Source organism: Homo sapiens, chromosome 19 (assembly GCF_000001405.40).
Source record: "Homo sapiens chromosome 19, GRCh38.p14 Primary Assembly".
Taxonomy (NCBI): Eukaryota; Metazoa; Chordata; class Mammalia; order Primates; family Hominidae; genus Homo; species Homo sapiens.
Genome location: NC_000019.10, coordinates 1,267,236 through 1,283,463, shown reverse-complemented (window position 1 = coordinate 1,283,463; position 16,228 = coordinate 1,267,236). Strand labels below are relative to the sequence as shown.

The 16,228-nt window shown below is 62.1% G+C and overlaps 2 protein-coding genes and 1 long non-coding RNA gene across 12 annotated transcripts, besides 12 other annotated features; 1 reads left to right on the top strand and 2 right to left on the bottom strand.

The window, feature by feature from the left end:
* Positions 31–877: an enhancer, noted in NCBI's record as "H3K27ac-H3K4me1 hESC enhancer chr19:1282586-1283432 (GRCh37/hg19 assembly coordinates)". NCBI's record gives its function as "activates a minimal SCP1, AML or CMV promoter by ChIP-STARR-seq in primed H9 embryonic stem cells {active_cell/tissue: H9 hESC(primed)}" and the evidence as "EXISTENCE:reporter gene assay evidence [ECO:0000049][PMID:30033119]".
* Positions 3,728–3,837: an enhancer, noted in NCBI's record as "active region_13609". NCBI's record gives its function as "activates an Ori minimal core promoter by ATAC-STARR-seq in GM12878 lymphoblastoid cells {active_cell/tissue: GM12878}" and the evidence as "EXISTENCE:reporter gene assay evidence [ECO:0000049][PMID:35858748]".
* FAM174C (family with sequence similarity 174 member C) lies at positions 4,236–7,934 on the bottom strand. Its single transcript, NM_017914.4, has 3 exons — positions 7,634–7,934; positions 6,165–6,281; positions 4,236–4,687 (listed from the first exon to the last, which is right to left on the bottom strand). Coding segments are annotated over exons 1-3 (399 nt in total). The 5' UTR covers positions 7,915–7,934; the 3' UTR covers positions 4,236–4,686.
* Positions 6,825–6,904: an enhancer, noted in NCBI's record as "active region_13608". NCBI's record gives its function as "activates an Ori minimal core promoter by ATAC-STARR-seq in GM12878 lymphoblastoid cells {active_cell/tissue: GM12878}" and the evidence as "EXISTENCE:reporter gene assay evidence [ECO:0000049][PMID:35858748]".
* Positions 7,465–7,534: a silencer, noted in NCBI's record as "silent region_9698". NCBI's record gives its function as "represses an Ori minimal core promoter by ATAC-STARR-seq in GM12878 lymphoblastoid cells {active_cell/tissue: GM12878}" and the evidence as "EXISTENCE:reporter gene assay evidence [ECO:0000049][PMID:35858748]".
* Positions 7,865–8,234: a silencer, noted in NCBI's record as "silent region_9697". NCBI's record gives its function as "represses an Ori minimal core promoter by ATAC-STARR-seq in GM12878 lymphoblastoid cells {active_cell/tissue: GM12878}" and the evidence as "EXISTENCE:reporter gene assay evidence [ECO:0000049][PMID:35858748]".
* Positions 8,203–8,427: a silencer, noted in NCBI's record as "fragment chr19:1275036-1275260 (GRCh37/hg19 assembly coordinates)". NCBI's record gives its function as "represses an EF-1alpha promoter that drives an FKBP-Casp9 reporter gene in an ReSE screen in HepG2 liver carcinoma cells {active_cell/tissue: HepG2}" and the evidence as "EXISTENCE:reporter gene assay evidence [ECO:0000049][PMID:32094911]".
* Positions 8,245–8,304: a silencer, noted in NCBI's record as "silent region_9696". NCBI's record gives its function as "represses an Ori minimal core promoter by ATAC-STARR-seq in GM12878 lymphoblastoid cells {active_cell/tissue: GM12878}" and the evidence as "EXISTENCE:reporter gene assay evidence [ECO:0000049][PMID:35858748]".
* On the bottom strand, positions 8,584–14,132 carry CIRBP (cold inducible RNA binding protein). Of its 10 annotated transcripts, none has more exons than XR_001753600.3 (8): positions 14,054–14,132; positions 12,428–12,597; positions 12,218–12,324; positions 11,997–12,135; positions 11,832–11,913; positions 11,413–11,483; positions 9,024–9,157; positions 8,584–8,815 (listed from the first exon to the last, which is right to left on the bottom strand). XR_001753600.3 is itself a non-coding variant. In NM_001437524.1 (7 exons), exons 2-7 carry the CDS (start codon positions 12,528–12,530, stop codon positions 9,153–9,155), a joined length of 507 nt encoding a protein of 168 aa, NP_001424453.1. In that variant the 5' UTR covers positions 12,531–12,597; positions 14,054–14,132; the 3' UTR covers positions 8,654–9,152. The 10 variants fall into 10 exon arrangements, 6 of the variants coding, with proteins under 6 accessions (NP_001424453.1, NP_001287744.1, NP_001287758.1 ...); XR_001753599.2 differs by having other exon boundaries at positions 12,428–12,536; NR_023312.3 differs by having other exon boundaries at positions 9,024–11,483.
* Positions 9,794–9,977: a silencer, noted in NCBI's record as "fragment chr19:1273486-1273669 (GRCh37/hg19 assembly coordinates)". NCBI's record gives its function as "represses an EF-1alpha promoter that drives an FKBP-Casp9 reporter gene in an ReSE screen in HepG2 liver carcinoma cells {active_cell/tissue: HepG2}" and the evidence as "EXISTENCE:reporter gene assay evidence [ECO:0000049][PMID:32094911]".
* On the top strand, positions 13,204–15,993 carry CIRBP-AS1 (CIRBP antisense RNA 1). The gene is made up of 2 exons (NR_027271.1): positions 13,204–13,639; positions 15,074–15,993. It is a non-coding gene; the product is annotated as a CIRBP antisense RNA 1 (long non-coding RNA).
* Positions 13,516–13,825: a silencer, noted in NCBI's record as "silent region_9695". NCBI's record gives its function as "represses an Ori minimal core promoter by ATAC-STARR-seq in GM12878 lymphoblastoid cells {active_cell/tissue: GM12878}" and the evidence as "EXISTENCE:reporter gene assay evidence [ECO:0000049][PMID:35858748]".
* Positions 13,876–14,035: a silencer, noted in NCBI's record as "silent region_9694". NCBI's record gives its function as "represses an Ori minimal core promoter by ATAC-STARR-seq in GM12878 lymphoblastoid cells {active_cell/tissue: GM12878}" and the evidence as "EXISTENCE:reporter gene assay evidence [ECO:0000049][PMID:35858748]".
* Positions 14,246–14,455: a silencer, noted in NCBI's record as "silent region_9693". NCBI's record gives its function as "represses an Ori minimal core promoter by ATAC-STARR-seq in GM12878 lymphoblastoid cells {active_cell/tissue: GM12878}" and the evidence as "EXISTENCE:reporter gene assay evidence [ECO:0000049][PMID:35858748]".
* Positions 16,066–16,115: a silencer, noted in NCBI's record as "silent region_9692". NCBI's record gives its function as "represses an Ori minimal core promoter by ATAC-STARR-seq in GM12878 lymphoblastoid cells {active_cell/tissue: GM12878}" and the evidence as "EXISTENCE:reporter gene assay evidence [ECO:0000049][PMID:35858748]".

Below are 16,228 nucleotides of genomic sequence, written 5' to 3'. Positions count from 1 at the left end.
CCTGTGGAGCCAAGGGTCAGAAATCAGGCTCACTCTGGGAACAGGTGTCCGCCAAGGTCAGGGGTTATCCAGGGTCGCCCTCAGTCCCTGGTCTGGAGCCAGTACAGGGCTTGATGGGGTCTGGCCCCGCCCCCTGCTCTGCACTGCTGGGACTGGGGTCTACCCAGACTCAGGAAGGGACTTGTCCAGCCCGTGCCCAGCACCCACTGCCCACATGGCCAGGCCACAGGGCTTGGGATCAGCGTCCCGCAGCCCCTCAGCCTTCAAAGGCCGCGACGCCAGGAGGAAGCTAAAAATATGCGGGGAGAATTTCTCATTACAGAATAAATTGGACCCAATGCGCTGCCTGCCCTGGTGCCGGCAGCCTTCAGAAGCCCCATCTCAGCCAGGCAAGGATCAGGCGGCAGGGGTCACGGGGCGCTGGGGCCCGGGCAGGTCACAGGCTCCACTCAGGGCGGGAGCCCCACCGCTGTCCATCGCCCCCCACCTGCGAAGCACGGAGCTGGGGTCTGCGCTTAGCCCCAGGGGCCAGGGGCGTTTCCCCTGGGCTGGGTCGCTGTCCTTGAAAATAAAAATGTATCCCTTTCTCCAGTGGGTAACATGAAAATCCCCACCCCCATCCAGCCATGGACCCAAGATTCCTGCAACCCCTGCAGCCAGTGGTGGAAAAGAGCAGGCACACAGCCCCATTCCCAGCTCACCCTCCTCCCTCCTCCCCAGCTCCCATCCTTCCCATTCTCCTCTCTTCACACTCTCCTCCCTCCCTCCTCCCCTCCCTCCCTCCTCCCTTCACACCCTCCTCCCTCCCTCCTCCCTTCACACCCTCCTCCCTCCCTCCTCCCCTCCCTCCCTCCTCCCTTCACACCTTCACACCCTCCTCCCTCCCTCCTCCCCTCCCACCCTCCTCCCCCTCCTCCCTTCACACCCTCCTCCCTCCCTCCTCCCCTCCCTCCTTCCCTTCACACCTTTCCCCTCCCTCCCCCTCCCTACTTCCCTCCCACCTCCCCTCCCTCCTTCCCTTCACACCTTCCCCTCCCTCCCTCTCTCCTTCCTCCCCTTCCCACCCTTCTCCCCTCCCTCCTTCCTTCCCCCTTCATACTACCCTCCCCTCCCTCCTCCCCCTTCCCACTCTCTTCCCCCTTAATACCCCCTCCCTTCCTTCCTCTCTCCCTCTCCTTTTACACCTTCCTCCCCTTCTCAGTCCTCCGCTCCCTCCTCCCTCCTTCCCCTTCACACCCTCCTCCCCCCTCCTTCCCCCATCCTCTGCACCCTCCTCTCCTTCCTCCTCCTCCCCTTCCCTCCTTCCTTCCTTCCTCCTCCCATCCTTCCTCTCCATTCACATCCTTCTCCTTCCCACTCTGTCCCCTCCCTCCTCCCCTTCCTCCTCCTTCCTCTCTCCCTCATCCCACCTTCAGGTCTGGGGCCTGAACACAGACCCGTTCTCCAGTGTCCAGACACCACCAGCGTCCAGAACTTTCCAAGACAAAGGAAATGTCCCTGCCCCCACCAATCGCTGTCCACCACAGTGACTGAGGCCCCAGACCTCTCCCCACGGCGACTGAGGACCCGGACCTCTCCCCATGGCGACTGAGGACCTCTCCCCATGGTGACTGAGGCCCTGGACCTCCAGTTTTATGTAACTTAATGAAATAACGTGAATAGCCATGTGTGGCTTTGTGTCCCACAGCAAAGCACTGGGTGCTTCTCAGGGGCTGGCTGGCCTAGGACGGGGACGTCAGTGGCCTTAATGTGGGGTCAGTGGTGGCTCAGGCCCCCCACAGAGGAGATGGGCACCTGGGGGTGAGATCCCTGGAGGTGGGGAGTCGAGGGTACAGGGGTCTCAGCACCCCCAGAAGAGGCAGAGAGCCCTCCGTCGCCTGCCAACCCGAGTGACTGTGATTTGGCACATGGGGCCACATCCCTGGGGCACCCCGGCACCAGGGCGGCAGAGGAGCCCTGTCTCTATCTCCCCAGGATGAATGTCGGCCCCAAGCTGTGGGCACAAGCCGGCGCCGCAAGGAACCCAACGCATCCCGCCTTTGAGGCCACGTCCCCAGCGCCCACCCGCCCCTATTTCACAAGCGGAGAAGCCCCGCAGTGAGTCCACTGGACTCCAGCCTGGGCGGGGCCCGCTGCTGAAGCAGAGACCCCCACCCCCCCCCACCCAGAGGCACAGACCTGATATGCTGCTTGTCCAGTGGGCACACCGAGGGGCAAGGGTGGGGGGCATGGGTCTGAGACACTCCCCGGCGTGGGGTTAGGAGCTGAGCAGGTCACACCCATGTGTGTGATCGCGTGTCCCACGGGGCTGCGGGCGTCCCATCCATGGAACTGTCCGAGTTGCTTACCGTGTGTCTATGAGACTGTATTTTGTGGGTGCCTGCGTGTCTGCGTGTCTGCGTGGGAGAGGTGGAGGAAGCCACTGCCCGCCCCCGCAAGCTCCCAGGCACCCGCACACACACGCACTCCCACGGGCACACACACGCTCACAAGCCGAGCACCAGCCGGGACCTGGGGCCTTTCATTTCTCGCTGACAGGCCCCTCTCCGGCTCTGAGCCCAGGAGAACCCCTGGCTAACAGTGCATTAACCTTGGGGGGCTGCCAATTACTCTGCAGCAACGTGGGGTGCAGCACGGGCCCCGACAGGCAGAGGGGACGGAGGCAGCAGAGCCCCTCTCCCTGCTCGAGCGGGGGGCGGCGGCGGCTGGGCTGGGGGCTGCGGCATGTTCCGACTCCGGATGGCAGAGCGTGGGTCTCTCCTGACCTCATTAGAGTAATTAATGTGCCTTTTGAAGCTGGTGAAAGCGCTCAGAGCTGTGGGACGGGGGGCACAGATCACAGGGTTGGGGGCCGGGGCTGGTGTCTCCGTGCCTGTTAAAAGTGTGTCCCAAAGGGTCAGACATGGAGACAGAGACGGACAGAGACAAAGTGAAGGAGGCAGATGGAGAGATGCAAACGGGAGTTTGGAGACAGACGCAACGGCCAGACAGATGGGGAACAGCAGAGCCCGAGTCATAGGTGTGACTTGCTTGTCCCCAGTCCCACACACAGCCAGGCTGAGCCAAGCTGCCCTCCCCACCTGCAGTCTCAGGGGCCTCCCTCGGGCTCTGCCCTCACTTTAAGGGTTGCTTCCCCAACCTTCCCTGCAGGATTCCCCTAAAGAACAGGCTGGGGTGGGCAATCAGGGAGGACTTCCTGGAGGCGGCAGCTGAGGCTGGGGCAGAGAAGGACCCAGGGCACTGGAAGGGGAAGGAGAAACGTAAGCAGAGTCTTGGCAGGCCTGGTCAGACGGACATGCCCAAGGGAACAGATAGTACCAGGACAGGGGACCCTGGTCTGAAGGGGCGATAGCCTGGCCCCCAGTGGAGACAGCCCCTCCCAACCCTGGCGGCAGACAGGGAGGGTCGGCAGGTATGTGAGATGCAAACCTGGGGGACTGCCCATCCCCCAGTGGATGTGAGGACACGGTGGGTTCAGGAAGTGGAGTGACAAATGGGCTGTGCTGGACTTGCTTTCCCACATGAAGGGTTAGGACCAAGGAGACAGCCAGAGGACTGGGCGGCTCAAGGCTGCCACCTGGTGGCAGCTCCTCCTCGTGACAGGGCAGTGGCAGCTCCAGACAGGTTGCCTGTGGGGGACCTCAGGCCATGGGTACCCACGCACCATGGTCTCTCCAAGGCTAACCTCATGGGGGACAGGATGACAGGCCAGGGCTGGACTCCGCCCAGACACAGGCCCCTGCAGGAAGAACAAGGCCCCAGGGAAGCTGATTAAGCACCTTGCCTGGGATGGGGTCTCAGGCTCCAAGTCCCACAGGAGGCAGATGGGGGAGGAGTGTCCGGCATGGGGACCCAGGCCGCACGGAACTCCAGCCTCCTGCAGCAGAGCTCTGGGGCTCCCTGGAATCATTGCCAGAGGTATTCATGAGGGTGATGTGGGGATCCTCCAGGGCAGGGCCCATGAGACCCAGGCTGAAGGGATGGCATAGAGGGGGCCCTGGGGCAGGGGCTTTGACGGATGAATAGGAGTTCTCTCTAGGAAGAGAGATGCTGACAGGCAGGGCCTCATCCCAGGCAGCTGAAGATGGGTTCCTTACTTGGGAGCAAGGCTGGAGAACCCAAGCATGGTCGCAGATGGGGAACCGAGGCTGGCTTGAGCCCTGCTCCGCCACCCACCCCCACACTGGCTGCACCAGTACGCACGGGTCTAGAGGTGGCATGGGGTCAGCACCAGCTGCAGAGACATGGCTGCATTTATTGTTCCCAGCCCGGCGAGAAGGTGTTCCCAGAAAGGTTCCTTGGGTCACCTGCCCACCCAGCCTTGGCTCTGGGCTGCCATGTCCCCACGGGGGCAGGAGAGAGGCACAAGTCACAGTCAGGCAAGGGAGCCTCAGCGTCCTGGGCGGTGGCTGTTGGGGTCCCTCCAGTCTTCACCTGGGACCCTCGGCCAGGCTGGGACAGCATCCAGGAGGCGAGGCTGCATGGTCCAGCGGTGGGTGCAGGTGGCAACAGGTCGGCGGGCTGTGCAGGTTCCAAAAGGAGCTCTCGGGTTGGCACTGGGTGAGACCAGCCCCGGGGCCAGCAGGGGAATGAGCGGTGGAGCAGGGGGTTGCTGGGCACTGGGGTGGGCCCCATCTCCTGTCCTTCCCTCATGGCTGCTGGAAGGGCCGCCTCCCTGGCTCAGCATCTGAAAGCAGGGGGTCAAGGGTGAGAGGGAAGGAGTGAAGGGCCCGCCCTGCCGGGCAGAGGCTCACCCAGGTCAGGCAGGGGCAGGCAGCCTGTCCAGGCCCCTCGGTCTACCAGGGCCCAGCCTCCCCCCACTGGCCTCCCTCCCCGGCCTCCTGGGCCCTGTGCAACTGCCCACTCCGGGGGAAGGGGCCCCCAGCCAGGAGGTAGAAGAAACCTGGGAGGGGTTCCCAGAATGGAGTCAGAGCATGCGGAGGGATCCCAGTGCCTCCCTCCCTGGGGGCTCAAAAAGTCAGAGCTGTCCCCAGAGGCCGCCCAGTCTCCTGGTCTCCCAGCCTCCATGCCTGCCACCCCCCAACAGGCCAAGGTCCCCCCAGCAGCCACACTGCAGCGCAACATACCCATCATTCCCTGCCCAGAACCCTGCTAACCCCTGACAGCTGCCTCGATGCCCAGGCCTACCCCAGTCCCGCCCGGCATCTGCGCAGCCCGGCCGCTCCCTGCTGTTCCCTCGGCCTGAGACACTCTTCCAGAAGCCAGCCCCATTACACCAGGGAGAGGCCCTCCCTGACCCCGCCCGCTCAGAAGCATCCTGCAGTCAGTTCTCCACCTGACTTAGACCTCATCCCTCAGGGAGGGGCCCAGATGGAGCAACCACTACCCTAAGCCCTGCAGCCGCTTTCCTGCCTTAAAAAAGCAAGAAGGCTGACCACGGTGGCTCACACCTGTAATCCCAGCACTTTGGGAGGCCGAAGCGGGCAGATCACCTGAGGTCAGGAGTTCGAGGCCAGCCTGGCCAACATGGTGAAACCCTGTCTCTACTAAAACTACAAAAATTAGCCGGGTGTAGTGGTGAGCACCTTTAATCCCAGCTACTCAGGAGGCTGCGATGGGAGAAATGCTTGAACCTGGGAGGTGGAGGTTGCAGTGAGCAGAGATCGTGCCATTGCACTCCAGCCTGGGCAACAAGAGCGAAACTCCATCTCAAAACAAAACAAAACTTAGGTCAGGTGCGGTGGCTCACACCTGTAATCCCAGCTCTTTGGGAAGCCCAGGCAGATGGATCACCTGAGGTAAGGAGCTGGAACCCAGCCTGGCCAACATGGTGAAACCCCATCTCTATCTACTAAATACAAAAAATTAGCGAGGCGTGGTGGCGGGTGCCTGTAATCCCAGCTACTCGGGAGGCTGTGGCAGGAAAATCGCCTCAATCCCGGAGGCGGAGGTTGCAGTGAGTTGGGATCGCGCCACTCCACCTCAAAAATAAATAAATGACAAACATTTAAGTTTAAAAAAAAAAAGTTGTAAATGGAGGCTGGGAGAAGGGATGAGCCCTGCCCAGTGGGGCCATGGCCTGACTACCGCTGTCAGCTGTGATTGCAGGGACCACTCCATGGCTTGGCCAAGTCCCCAGGGTCCTGCTGAGTCTCCAGCCCAGCCTGCCCACCGAGGCCCCAGAGCTGGGGAAGGGTGCACACCATCTCAGATTCCGGGACTCAAACACCGTCTCCTCGTCGCTGTCCAGCGAGGCCATCTCCGTGGGGTCCTCAGTGTTGGCGAGGAGGCCGTATCGCCTCCGCTGAGGCTTCTTCAACCTGGAAGTAGGTCCAGGCATAGTCAGTGGCCCCTCCCCGCCAACCCTGCCTCCTCCTTCCCTCAGGACTCTCATTGCCGTCCTCTACTGGAGCCCCGAGCCCTGCTGCAGACCTCCCTGGTTTTGCTGTGCCTGCTTCTTTCATGTCCTAATCGCCAAGTGATTACCATTCACTCCCATGGCGATGACAGTAAGAAGACATGTGCCCTACCAGGCCCTCCCATCTCCCCTGCGCCAGGACCCCAGGAGAGGCACGCTGATGTCACTCCCATTGCACTGATGAAAAGACTGAGGCTCACACAGGGGTGAGACTTTGCCAAAGACAACAGAATGGAAGCCTGTCTCAGGGCCAAGCCCCTGGTGGCCCCAGCAGCCCGGGAGGCAGGGAGGGCGCGGCATACAGGCAGGGGAGAGCGCGCAGCAGGTGCTTCCACAGGAAGAGGTGTGGAGCACAGGGGAGGCTCTGCACAGGGCCCATAAAAAGCAGCATGGCGGAGTGCAGGTGCTCACATCTATAATGCCAGCACTTTGGGAGGCCAACGAAAAAGGATCACTTGAGCCCAGGAGTTCAGACCAGCGCGGGTAACATGGCGAGACCCCATCGCTACAATAAAAACTTATAAAAAATAAAAAGCGGCTTGACTTTGCCAGGGTGGTGATGGGGAGGGATAAGGTCCTCGCTGTGTCTCTCCCACCCGGGAGAAGCAGCCACACTGGGTAGTCAGGAGCCCAGAGGAGACTGGAGCCACAGGCCAGGGAAGCCGGGGTGGCCTGAACACGCAGAAGCCCCTCCTGCCCAGGGGCTGCCTACAGCTGGAGACCCCCGCGAGGGTCTGGGGACGCAGCTGCACCTCCCGGGCTGTGGGAGCACCCAAGGCGGGCACGTGGCCGACCCTGGCGACGAACCAGCTTCAGTGGGTAGAAGCAGAAAGGAAAATATCGGGACCCCACGGAAAGGCCTGGCGGCAGGCGGGAAGATGAGAACGAGGACGGGCATCCGGCGACAAGGAGCCAAGGAGGCCCCCTCGCCCCGCCAGGGCCTGACCCCTGCCCGGCATGCTCCGGCTTCAGTGGCCCCACCTGGGAAACGGGCAGCGTCACCCCCGAGTTAAGAGGCGGCGCGCTGGGCACCTCCAACCCCAGGCGCAGGCTGGAGAGCGGGTGAGTCCCGTGGCCCCTGCACCGCCCACACCACGTGACGACCCCGCACAGCACCGCCCACGCCCACTCCAACAGGGAGAGAGGGAGGGAGGGAGGGAGGGAGGGGAGGACCCCGCGGCCCGGCACGTGACGCACTAGGCGCGCGCTAATTGGCCAAGGCTGAGAGACGGCGCCCACGTGCGCCTGACGCACCTAAACGCCCGGATCAGGAAGTAGAGCGCGGTCAGGCCGCAGAAGCCCAGGATCACGTAGAAGGAGCGCGTCAGCGCCGAGCCCGACGCCCCCGGCGGACGCGTGTGCGTGCTGTTGTGTGGCGCGCCCGGCTGGCTCCCGTTCGTCACGGCCGGCGGCGGCGACAACGTGACCTGCGCGGGGCGCAGCGGCGAGGCCTCTTCGGCACCGCACGGCAGCGCCGCCAGCAGCAGCGCCAGCAGGAGCAGCAGCAGCGGCGGCTGCAGCACGCGCGGCCCCATGGCCCGGCGGAAGCGGTGGCGGCGCCCCGCCCCTATGCGCGCTGTCAGTCAGGCGCGCGGAGGTGATGCCAGCCAATGGGGCGCGGAGGCGGAGCTTGACGCCGGGCCCCGCCTCCGCCTGGTGAGCCCCGGCGCTACCCACAGTGCCCCGCGCGCCCGCCGCGGAACTTGCTTCGTCGAACCGCTCCAAGGGATCAGGACGGAGGCCCGGAGCCCGCCCGTGGGAGTCCCGGCAAGGCGCAGCCGGCAGAGCCCAGAACTGCCAGCCCAGCGTGGGGGGTCGCGGCTTCCGAGGAAATCGGGCTGGCAGCGGGGAGACGGGGCGGACCCCGACTTCAGGACCTCGGGCCGCTCATTCCCACCCACTTCGGGGCGACCCCCGCCACTCCTGCCCCGGCCTCACGGACACTGAGAACGCGTCGGCCACGTCCAGGGCCCAGGAAGGTGGCGCCCCGCTCCCAAGCCTGCTACAGGGAACCCGGGACTCGGCCCAAGACGGGGCCTGACAGCGGCTGCGCGGCCGCCGCTCCCTCGAAGCCGAGTGCGCCTCAGATCCCGCGAGACTGGAGTCTCCGCGCTGCGAACCCCCTCAGTGGCGAGCCCCCCGCGGTCACTGCTCGGACAATGACCCTTGCAGTCTTCCCTGTCGGGTCCTACTCGTGCGCTGAACCGAGGTCCGCAGGCTTTTCTTCCAGTGGCCCCGCTCCGCCGACAGACCCCCCTGAACCACAGACTCGGCTTTCTGGGTGCACACGTGGCCCTTTATTCGAATCCGACTTTCACAGGGCTCCACATCGTTGTGGGCAAGGACTGGCCGCCCCGTAAGCTGCCGGCGCACCGCAGCCCGTGCTCCAGGAGAGACTCGAGGCCCTGAGCCCGCACCTCACTGGCGAAGCGCCTCCTGGAAGGAGGAGGAAGGGAGGGAGAACAGGCGCGGGCTCCAGGCGGGGGACCCGGCGCTCCCGGGAGGCGCTGCCCTGCACCCAACACACACCGAAAGGCGCCCGCCATGGGGCCATAGGTGCGGGAGAGCAGGACTCACTGAAACGCCCAGGTGCCGCCCGGGACAGGGCTCAGCGCCACATGCCACTCTTCCCGAAAGCACTTACAGGGGACAAGCCTCCTGGGCAAGCGGCTGCCTCCAGCTCTTGTTCCAGGTGAAGTCCCTCCTGGGACAGTGACCCCAGAGGTCATCGCTGCTCTCAGGCCACCCTTCCCCGAGTCCTGGCCGGGCCCCTTCAACCTGCCAAAGCAAAGCAGCGTTACTCCCAACGTCCTCCACAGGGCTCACAGCTGCCCCTCCCGGCCTCCCCGGAAACAGCCACAGCCCCTAGGAAGGTCTCAGGCTAGTCAGGGGGCTGTGACCTCAGGCTCCGTCACAGGCCAGCATGCCCAGGGCGGGTCTGCACCTTGGCGCAGCTGGAGCCAGCTACCCGTATGGGATGGAGCTATGTGGGCCAGTGTGGGCTCTAGAAAAAAACTAATGGCGGCAACAGACATCAGAGAAAGCTAAGTTAAGAGTGTGACTTAAAGAGGTCTGGAAAAGACGGTCAATTGAGCAAAAAATCCAAAAGGCGGGGGCGTTCACTGGTCTTCAATCCTGCTTAAGGGATTTCATCTATGAGCCAGGCATGACTGGGCCCAGGCTGCACCTGGCTGCACGTGGGGAGCGTAATGGCTGGGCCTGACTTTAGTTCCAGCTTAATTGAAAAAAACAAAAACAAAGTTAAAAAAAAAAGGAAAAACAAAAAACAGTCACAGGAACATTCCCCGGGCACATGACTTTCAGTGAGCTCTCAACAAGAGGGATGTGGACACGAGCGGAAGGAGTTACCTCGAATTACAGGGCTATTTCCACATATGAGCTAGCCAAGGGAGCAGCTTGCGTCTCAGAGGGTTCTGTTGGGCGCACAACACTTCTGTCCTCCGAGGGCTGCAGCTTCCATAGGCTAGCAGAGAATGCTCAGAACTCGTGAAGCAACAGCAGAACTAGCTAACCGGCTGGCCGTCTGAGGTCGCCCTGGGATGCCACGTGCCTCTGCTCTCTGGCCTGCTTCTAGACTGAGGCAGTCCAGGTCAGCGTCAGGTGCACGTCCACTGTCCCTGCTAAGCTGCCCGCACAGTCCAGCCCTCTGGCCACCACTGCCAGAAGCCTCCCAGGGCTGCCCTGAGGCCTGAGCTGCCCGCTCCCGTCCCCCGCCTGGCTCCCCTACCCTGACCAGCGCCAGTCTGCTGGGCCTCCCTTTCTAGCTCTGCAGGCCCCAGGGAAGGCTTGCAGACCCGCTGCTTCTCCACCTTCTCTCTCTGCTCAGGTCTGGCTGCAGGAGCCCGCAGCAAGGAGTGTGTGGTGCAATGCAAGGGAATTGTCAGAGCAAGGTTCATTTCACACGGTCTTTTAATCGGCTTCGTAAAGCCAAAGAAAACTGCGTACAAGAATTCCTCAGCCACTGCAAATACAACATCGATGGAGTATGCGTACGTCTTCCAGTAAAAAAGGACAATATAAATAAACATCTTCAAGAACCTCTCAGGGACGTCTGCACGTCTACTGTGGGGCGCACAGCACAGATGGACGCAGGGGCTGGGGCTCCAGGGCAGTTGCTGCCACACCCGCCGGGGTCCTACCACACTACACTCAGAAACGTCACACGGAGTTGGAAAAAAGCCACAGCTTGCTCAGCTTCCGACAAAGAGCGGATTCACAGTCCGTTCGATCTCAGAGAAGTGAGTGGGGCACCCACTTCATGGGGCCAACCCCACTAAAAAAAAAAAGGCAACGCAACCAAAAACTAAAACAAAAACCAAAAACCCACACAACCCCCGATTTTTTTGAAAACTCATGGCTCGTGGTCAAAAAAGTAAATGCTTTTCAAAATGTTTTGAAAACCCTCAAAAAAAAACAGCACTTCCTTAAAAAGAAAAGTCTAGTAACGAGGCCATCCCGGCGTCAGAAGCGGTCAGGCTGGGTTTGACAAGATCAGAACCGAAATGACTACGAAAGTGGGAATACAAGGAGGTGCATTTACTACACATTAACGTTCAGCGAAGCTCCCACAATCTTTAAACACACAGCCATTGGAAGGACGATCTTGAGCAGGAAGGGTTTTTACTCGTTGTGTGTAGCTGAGGACAAGAAGCAGGCACAGTGTAAAGGCACCGAAGCAACAAGAGGCAGCTTCACCCCAGAGGCCAGACCAGGGCGCGGCCTGCGGCCGGGGAGCAACCACCCCCCACAGCCGAGGGAGGCTGGCCTGCGGCCACACATGCACCTAGCTGACTGCCCAGCGGGCCCTCGCTCTCCCTTGCCTTTTTGGTCAGTCTCATTTGGCTTTTGCGTCCTGCGATAGAAATGGCTCTGAGAGGACAGATGCGCCTCTTCTGGGCAAGCACAGTGACAAGGTCTGAGTGTCCAGCCTAAAGTGCTTGGAGAGGGCACCAAGGTGAACCGAGCTCCCACCGCAGGCCACAGCAGCGTGGCGCCCTCGGAGTGTGACTTACCGTAACTGTCATAACTGTCTCTGTAGGACCCGCCCGAGCTCCGGTCACTGTAGCCACCACTCTGACTCCGGCTGCAAGACAGACAAACGTTGAGTACCGGAAGGTACCCGTCTACTTCTGCTCTGCCACAACAGGCTGAGCCGCCAGCCCCCATGCCAGCCGTCCCTTCTGGGGACACAACAAGGACCCCAGCAGGGCAGCATCTTGGAAATTGTTCAAAATCTCCACCAGCCTGTCCCCCAGGCCCTCCCGCTTCTGCGAATGTCCTGAGCAGTCTCCTCTCCTCTTGGCCTGGGTCCCCACCTGCCTCTGCTCCTTGCCCAGCCAGTCTCATCTCAGCTCCCCCAGGGACCTGGGACCCGGGACGGAAGCTGGCCATCCCGCAACCACCCCTGTGCTTGGGCCGGCCTCCCCCTCACCTGCTATAGTAGTCTCTGGAGCCTCCGTAGCCCCCACTCCTGGACTCGAACCGGTTCCCCCCATAGCCTCGGTCCCCTCCTCCTGCACATACAGGAAAAAGTGAGTACCAGCTCCCACCAGCAGTACCTCACAGCATCCCCAAGGGACCCACTCATGGCACTCACCTCTAGAGAACCCACGGCCCCGTCCTCGGCCCCCACGGAAGAAGCCCCGGCCCCCGGCAGAGCCACCACGGTACCCACGGGATCGGTTGTCTGACGACTTGCCTGCCTGGTCTACTCGGATCTGCCGTCCATCTACAGACTGGAGACAGAGGGCGGGACGGGTTAGCAGGTGGGTGCCCCATCCTCGAGACGGGACTCCTGCTCAGCACCCTGATCCTCACCTTCCCATTCATGGCCATCATGGCATCCTTAGCGTCGTCAATGTTCTCAAAGGTGACAAACCCAAATCCCCGAGATCTCTGGGTCTCCCTGTCTTTCACAACCACCACTGTGCAGGGGAGAGAGGTCTGCAGTCAGCACCCAGCTGTACTTCCAGGTAGGAGGAGCACAAGCCCCCCCGCCCAGGGCCGCGGGCCCAGCAGCAGCCTCACCTTCAGAGATCTGTCCGTACTTTGAGAAGACCTGCTCCAGCGACTGCTCATTGGTGTCAAAACTCAGCCCTCCAACAAAAAGTTTGCCTTCATCTGATGCCATGGCGGCCTGTGGCAGACACCAATGAAATCCTCAACAGGGGTCATCTCTCACCACCTCTCCCCGCTTCCTATTTTATGTAAATGACATGTGTTTTTTAGGGGAAATATTAGAAAATCAGATTTTTATTTTTCATTATCTCAAACTCATACCTAGGACTTATTTTTTTGGGGTCGGGGGCAGTGTGTCTAACTGTCACCCAGACTGGAGTGCAGGGGTCACTGCAGCCTCCACCTCCTGGGCTCAAGCAATCCTCCTACCTCAGCCTCCCAAGAAACTGGGACTGTAGGTGTACACCACCACGCCTGGATAATTTTTTTAAATTTGTTTTAGTAGAGATGGGGTCTTGCTCTGTTGCCCAGGCTGGTCTGAAACTCCTGGGCTCAAGCAATCCTCCCACCTTGGCCACCCAAAGTTTTGGGATTACAGGTGTGAGCCACCGCACCCAGCCACCTAGGACTTCTTAATTCAAATAATTTACTCCATCCACCCCCAAGACTGAAGGCAGGCCGCACCCATTTCCACAATGGGTGTCTCCCTTCCCCCACAGCCTTCCAGTTGTGCCCTGGGCAGGACTGCACTCTCAGGTTCTCCTATTTCCGAACGGGTGCCAACTCCTACCCTAACCAACTGACATCTACTTGTTGCTGGACCAGAACGTGCTTCTGCTCACTGTAAAATGCCTCCTGAGACTGGGGGGGGGGCTGGCTGTCAGGGAGGCCGCCCCGTCCTGGGGGGCACCTCAGGGCAGGTACTGACTTCCATAGCCAGGACCTAGGCCGGGAATCGGGAAGGGATGGCCCCGGAAGTGATAAGGCAGGATTTCCAGGCAGGGGAAGTGGCATTTAGGAGAACTGGCTATTTAAGGGGGCGGTCAGTGCTGACACAGACAAAGCATTCACTGGCTGGGAATGGCCGCCACCCAGTGGCTCTGAGAACTAGACTTGGAAGTCTGGCACTGGGAGCTGTGCCAACTTGGACCAAACTTTGGGCGCAAAGCACGACGTGGCAGACGAGGAACCACACTAGAACGGGCCACGCCTACCCAAGATTTACGAGGCCGTCCTTTCCCTCATGCAATCGCAATGGGAAAAGGAGGAAACTAAGGCTCGGTAAGCAAAAGCGTTGGTGTGTGGATACCTCCAGCCCCAAGGCCGGGAAAGCGGCCCTGGAGACCGGGGGCGCCACGTGGCCCCGCCCCCGCCGCGTGCGCATGCGCCCCGCGCGCACCCTGCGCCACTCCATCCGGGAACTCGGCGCTCCCGCCATTTCGCTGGGCACAGCCTCGAGCTCGCGGCCGCCATTTTGCGGCGGCAACCGGGTCGCCGGCGGCCCGGACCGGCGGGGAGAGGCCCTCTGGCCGCTACTCGGCCCAATCTCCCGCTGTCCCTCGCCGCCGGCGGGGCGGACTCCACCCCGGGCCCGCCCCCTCCCAGGGGCGTGCCGCTGCGGCCCCGCCTCGCCTGGCCGCCGCAGGCCGCCCGCCGCCCCGAGCTCCTCGGAGCCGGTGCAGCCAGGGCCCTCACCACTGAGTCGGGCAGGTCCCTGACGCAAGCGGGAAGACAGCGCACCACAACGACCCGAGCCTCCTAACGCGCGAGTGAGGGGGGGGCGTCCCCGAGCCCGGCCTTATATACGCTTCCGCCGGGCCCCGCCCCCTACACATCCTGGGCCAATCAGAGGGCGCGCCTGCGTCTTATATTCATGAGCTGGGGGCCGAGTCTATCTCGGTTCCGCCCCCTCCCGCGGACTGGTGTCGGGCTCGACTATTGGCCGAGACGTTTGCAGTCCGCAGTCCTCCACCCGCGCTCGAGGGGGCGTGACCAGCGCGCGGCGGGGCGGGGCGGGGCTGACCCAGTTACGCGTGCCTGCTCCCTGGCCTGCGGCGGGGAACAAATGGGCCTCTAGCCCCGATTCCCAGGCCTCAGGCCTCATGGGGACTTCTGGGTGTCACTGGGACCCCGACTTTGCCTGTGCTCCAGCAGTCCCGACATAACAACCTAGCCCAGATCCCCTACCCAACCAAGACCCGGCTGTCAGACATCCCAACTTCATCTGAACCCCGACACCTGTCGTGATATTCTTGCCAATACAACCGACGTCCCAGTTTTCCCAGCACCCCAGCACTCCATTCCTGCCATCAACCCCATGCCCACCAAAACCCCAACAGAGACAACCCCATTCATGCGAACCCCAATATTCGCAATCCCAATTCTTCCTACATCGCCACACTTTGGTGCACCCCAACTTTACGCAACCCAGTTTGCCTACAAACTCCAACCCGCACCCAAGCCTAACTCCCACTGGAACCGCGATTATCACGGCTGGGTGCGTGGCCCACACCCCCACACTCGCCTGGCCGGATAGTGTTGTGCGTCCCTGCTGTCGGGTGCAGGCGGACACCCCGAGTCCCCACTGCACCCCAGCACTCCGCCCGGCCCTCGGCCTCCCCTCCCACCGTGCTGCACAGCAACGGCGCACTCGCTCCCCACGCGGGGCCAGGCCCACTCTGCTCCTCCACCCAGGCCTTTTCTCTCCTTCCACAGGCCTCCCCTACTGAGCCTGGTTGGCGGAGGGGAGTCTTAAAGCCGCCGCCATCTGGAGAACCAGCTTTACAAGGACCCTCACTCACTACTCTTCGGCGGCCCCAAAGCCTCTGGGGGGCCCTCTATGGCCACCACTTGCTCCTCGCCCAGGAGTCATCTCATGCCGCCGCCTCCCCCAGCCCTGGTGGAAGAAGCCAGCGCGGACCCCTGCCTCTCTGCCCCAGAAAGTCTTCGGAGGGATGACCCTCTGCTGACAAGCTGGGGGAAGTTGGCGTACAGAGACCCCCGCTTTGCTGCTCATCCCAGGGAAATCCCGGCCCCACTCCTGACCTCAGACTCACTTCCACCCTCAAGTGGATCGAGGTGGGGGTAGCCAGGGGCGCTGTCTCCAGTGACAAGGTCTCTGGGACCCCTCATGGGCTCAAGACCCCCTCCCCCAGGCAGCAGCTGTGTGATTCATCACCACCCCCTCTGCACCTCGGGCCCCCCCACTACAGCCGCCCCACTCCCCGTCAGCGGCAGCCGGCTGCTGCGTCAGCCACTCACGCAGGGTGGTTATTAAAGGAGAGAGACATCAGCACCGAGCTCCCCTGCGCCCGCCGTCCATGCGGGAGGGGCCACCCACCCACTGGAGCCCCAGACGCGGGCGCCACATGCCCAGCCTGGGAGCAATTCAGGCCCATTCTTTCTGATCTGCGCCCCCAGCCCCCAGCCCCAGCAGTCAGCGCGGTGGACGTTCTCTGACCCAGAGCAGCCCTTGTAGGGGGGGAGTTGGAGGGGGTGCCTGGTAGTCACAGCGGCCCCTGCATAATTGCGTAATTCTTGCCGCTCCCCCCAGCCCATCGTTCCCTGGTTCTGTGAGCCTCTGCCTTTTCCTGGTTTTGCGAAGCGCCGTGTTCATTCATTCATTCATTCATTCAGCCAGTGCCTAGTTATTAAGCGCTTACTACGAGCGGGTTCCTGGGTGCGGGCTCCGTGAGTGTCCGCAGCCATCCTGGGTTCCCAGGGTGGCGTTGACACGCACCTGCGCACACCTGCCGCTTTGCATCTGTGCCGAGCACTGTGCACCGGCTTCCAGGTGTGGACCTGTGTCGGTACCTGTGCCTCTGGGGTCAGCTGCGTCTGCGAGCACCCGTGACTCCCAGGTATCTCACC

What these genes read in the sequence shown, in the direction of transcription:
- FAM174C (NM_017914.4), bottom strand. Translation starts at nt 7,914, where the DNA reads ATGGGGCCGCGCGTGCTGCAGCCGCCGCTGCTGCTGCTCCTGCTGGCG. An exon ending in TTCCTGATCCGGGCGTTTAG is followed by an intron (nt 6,282 to 7,633) that starts GTGCGTCAGGCG and finishes ACCTACTTCCAG; the next exon opens with GTTGAAGAAGCCTCAGCGGA.
- CIRBP (NM_001300829.2), bottom strand. Translation starts at nt 12,530, where the DNA reads ATGGCATCAGATGAAGGCAAACTTTTTGTTGGAGGGCTGAGTTTTGAC. An exon ending in GTACGGACAGATCTCTGAAG is followed by an intron (nt 12,325 to 12,427) that starts GTGAGGCTGCTG and finishes TCCCCTGCACAG; the next exon opens with TGGTGGTTGTGAAAGACAGG. An exon ending in TCCAGAGACTACTATAGCAG is followed by an intron (nt 11,484 to 11,831) that starts GTGAGGGGGAGG and finishes TCTGTCTTGCAG; the next exon opens with CCGGAGTCAGAGTGGTGGCT.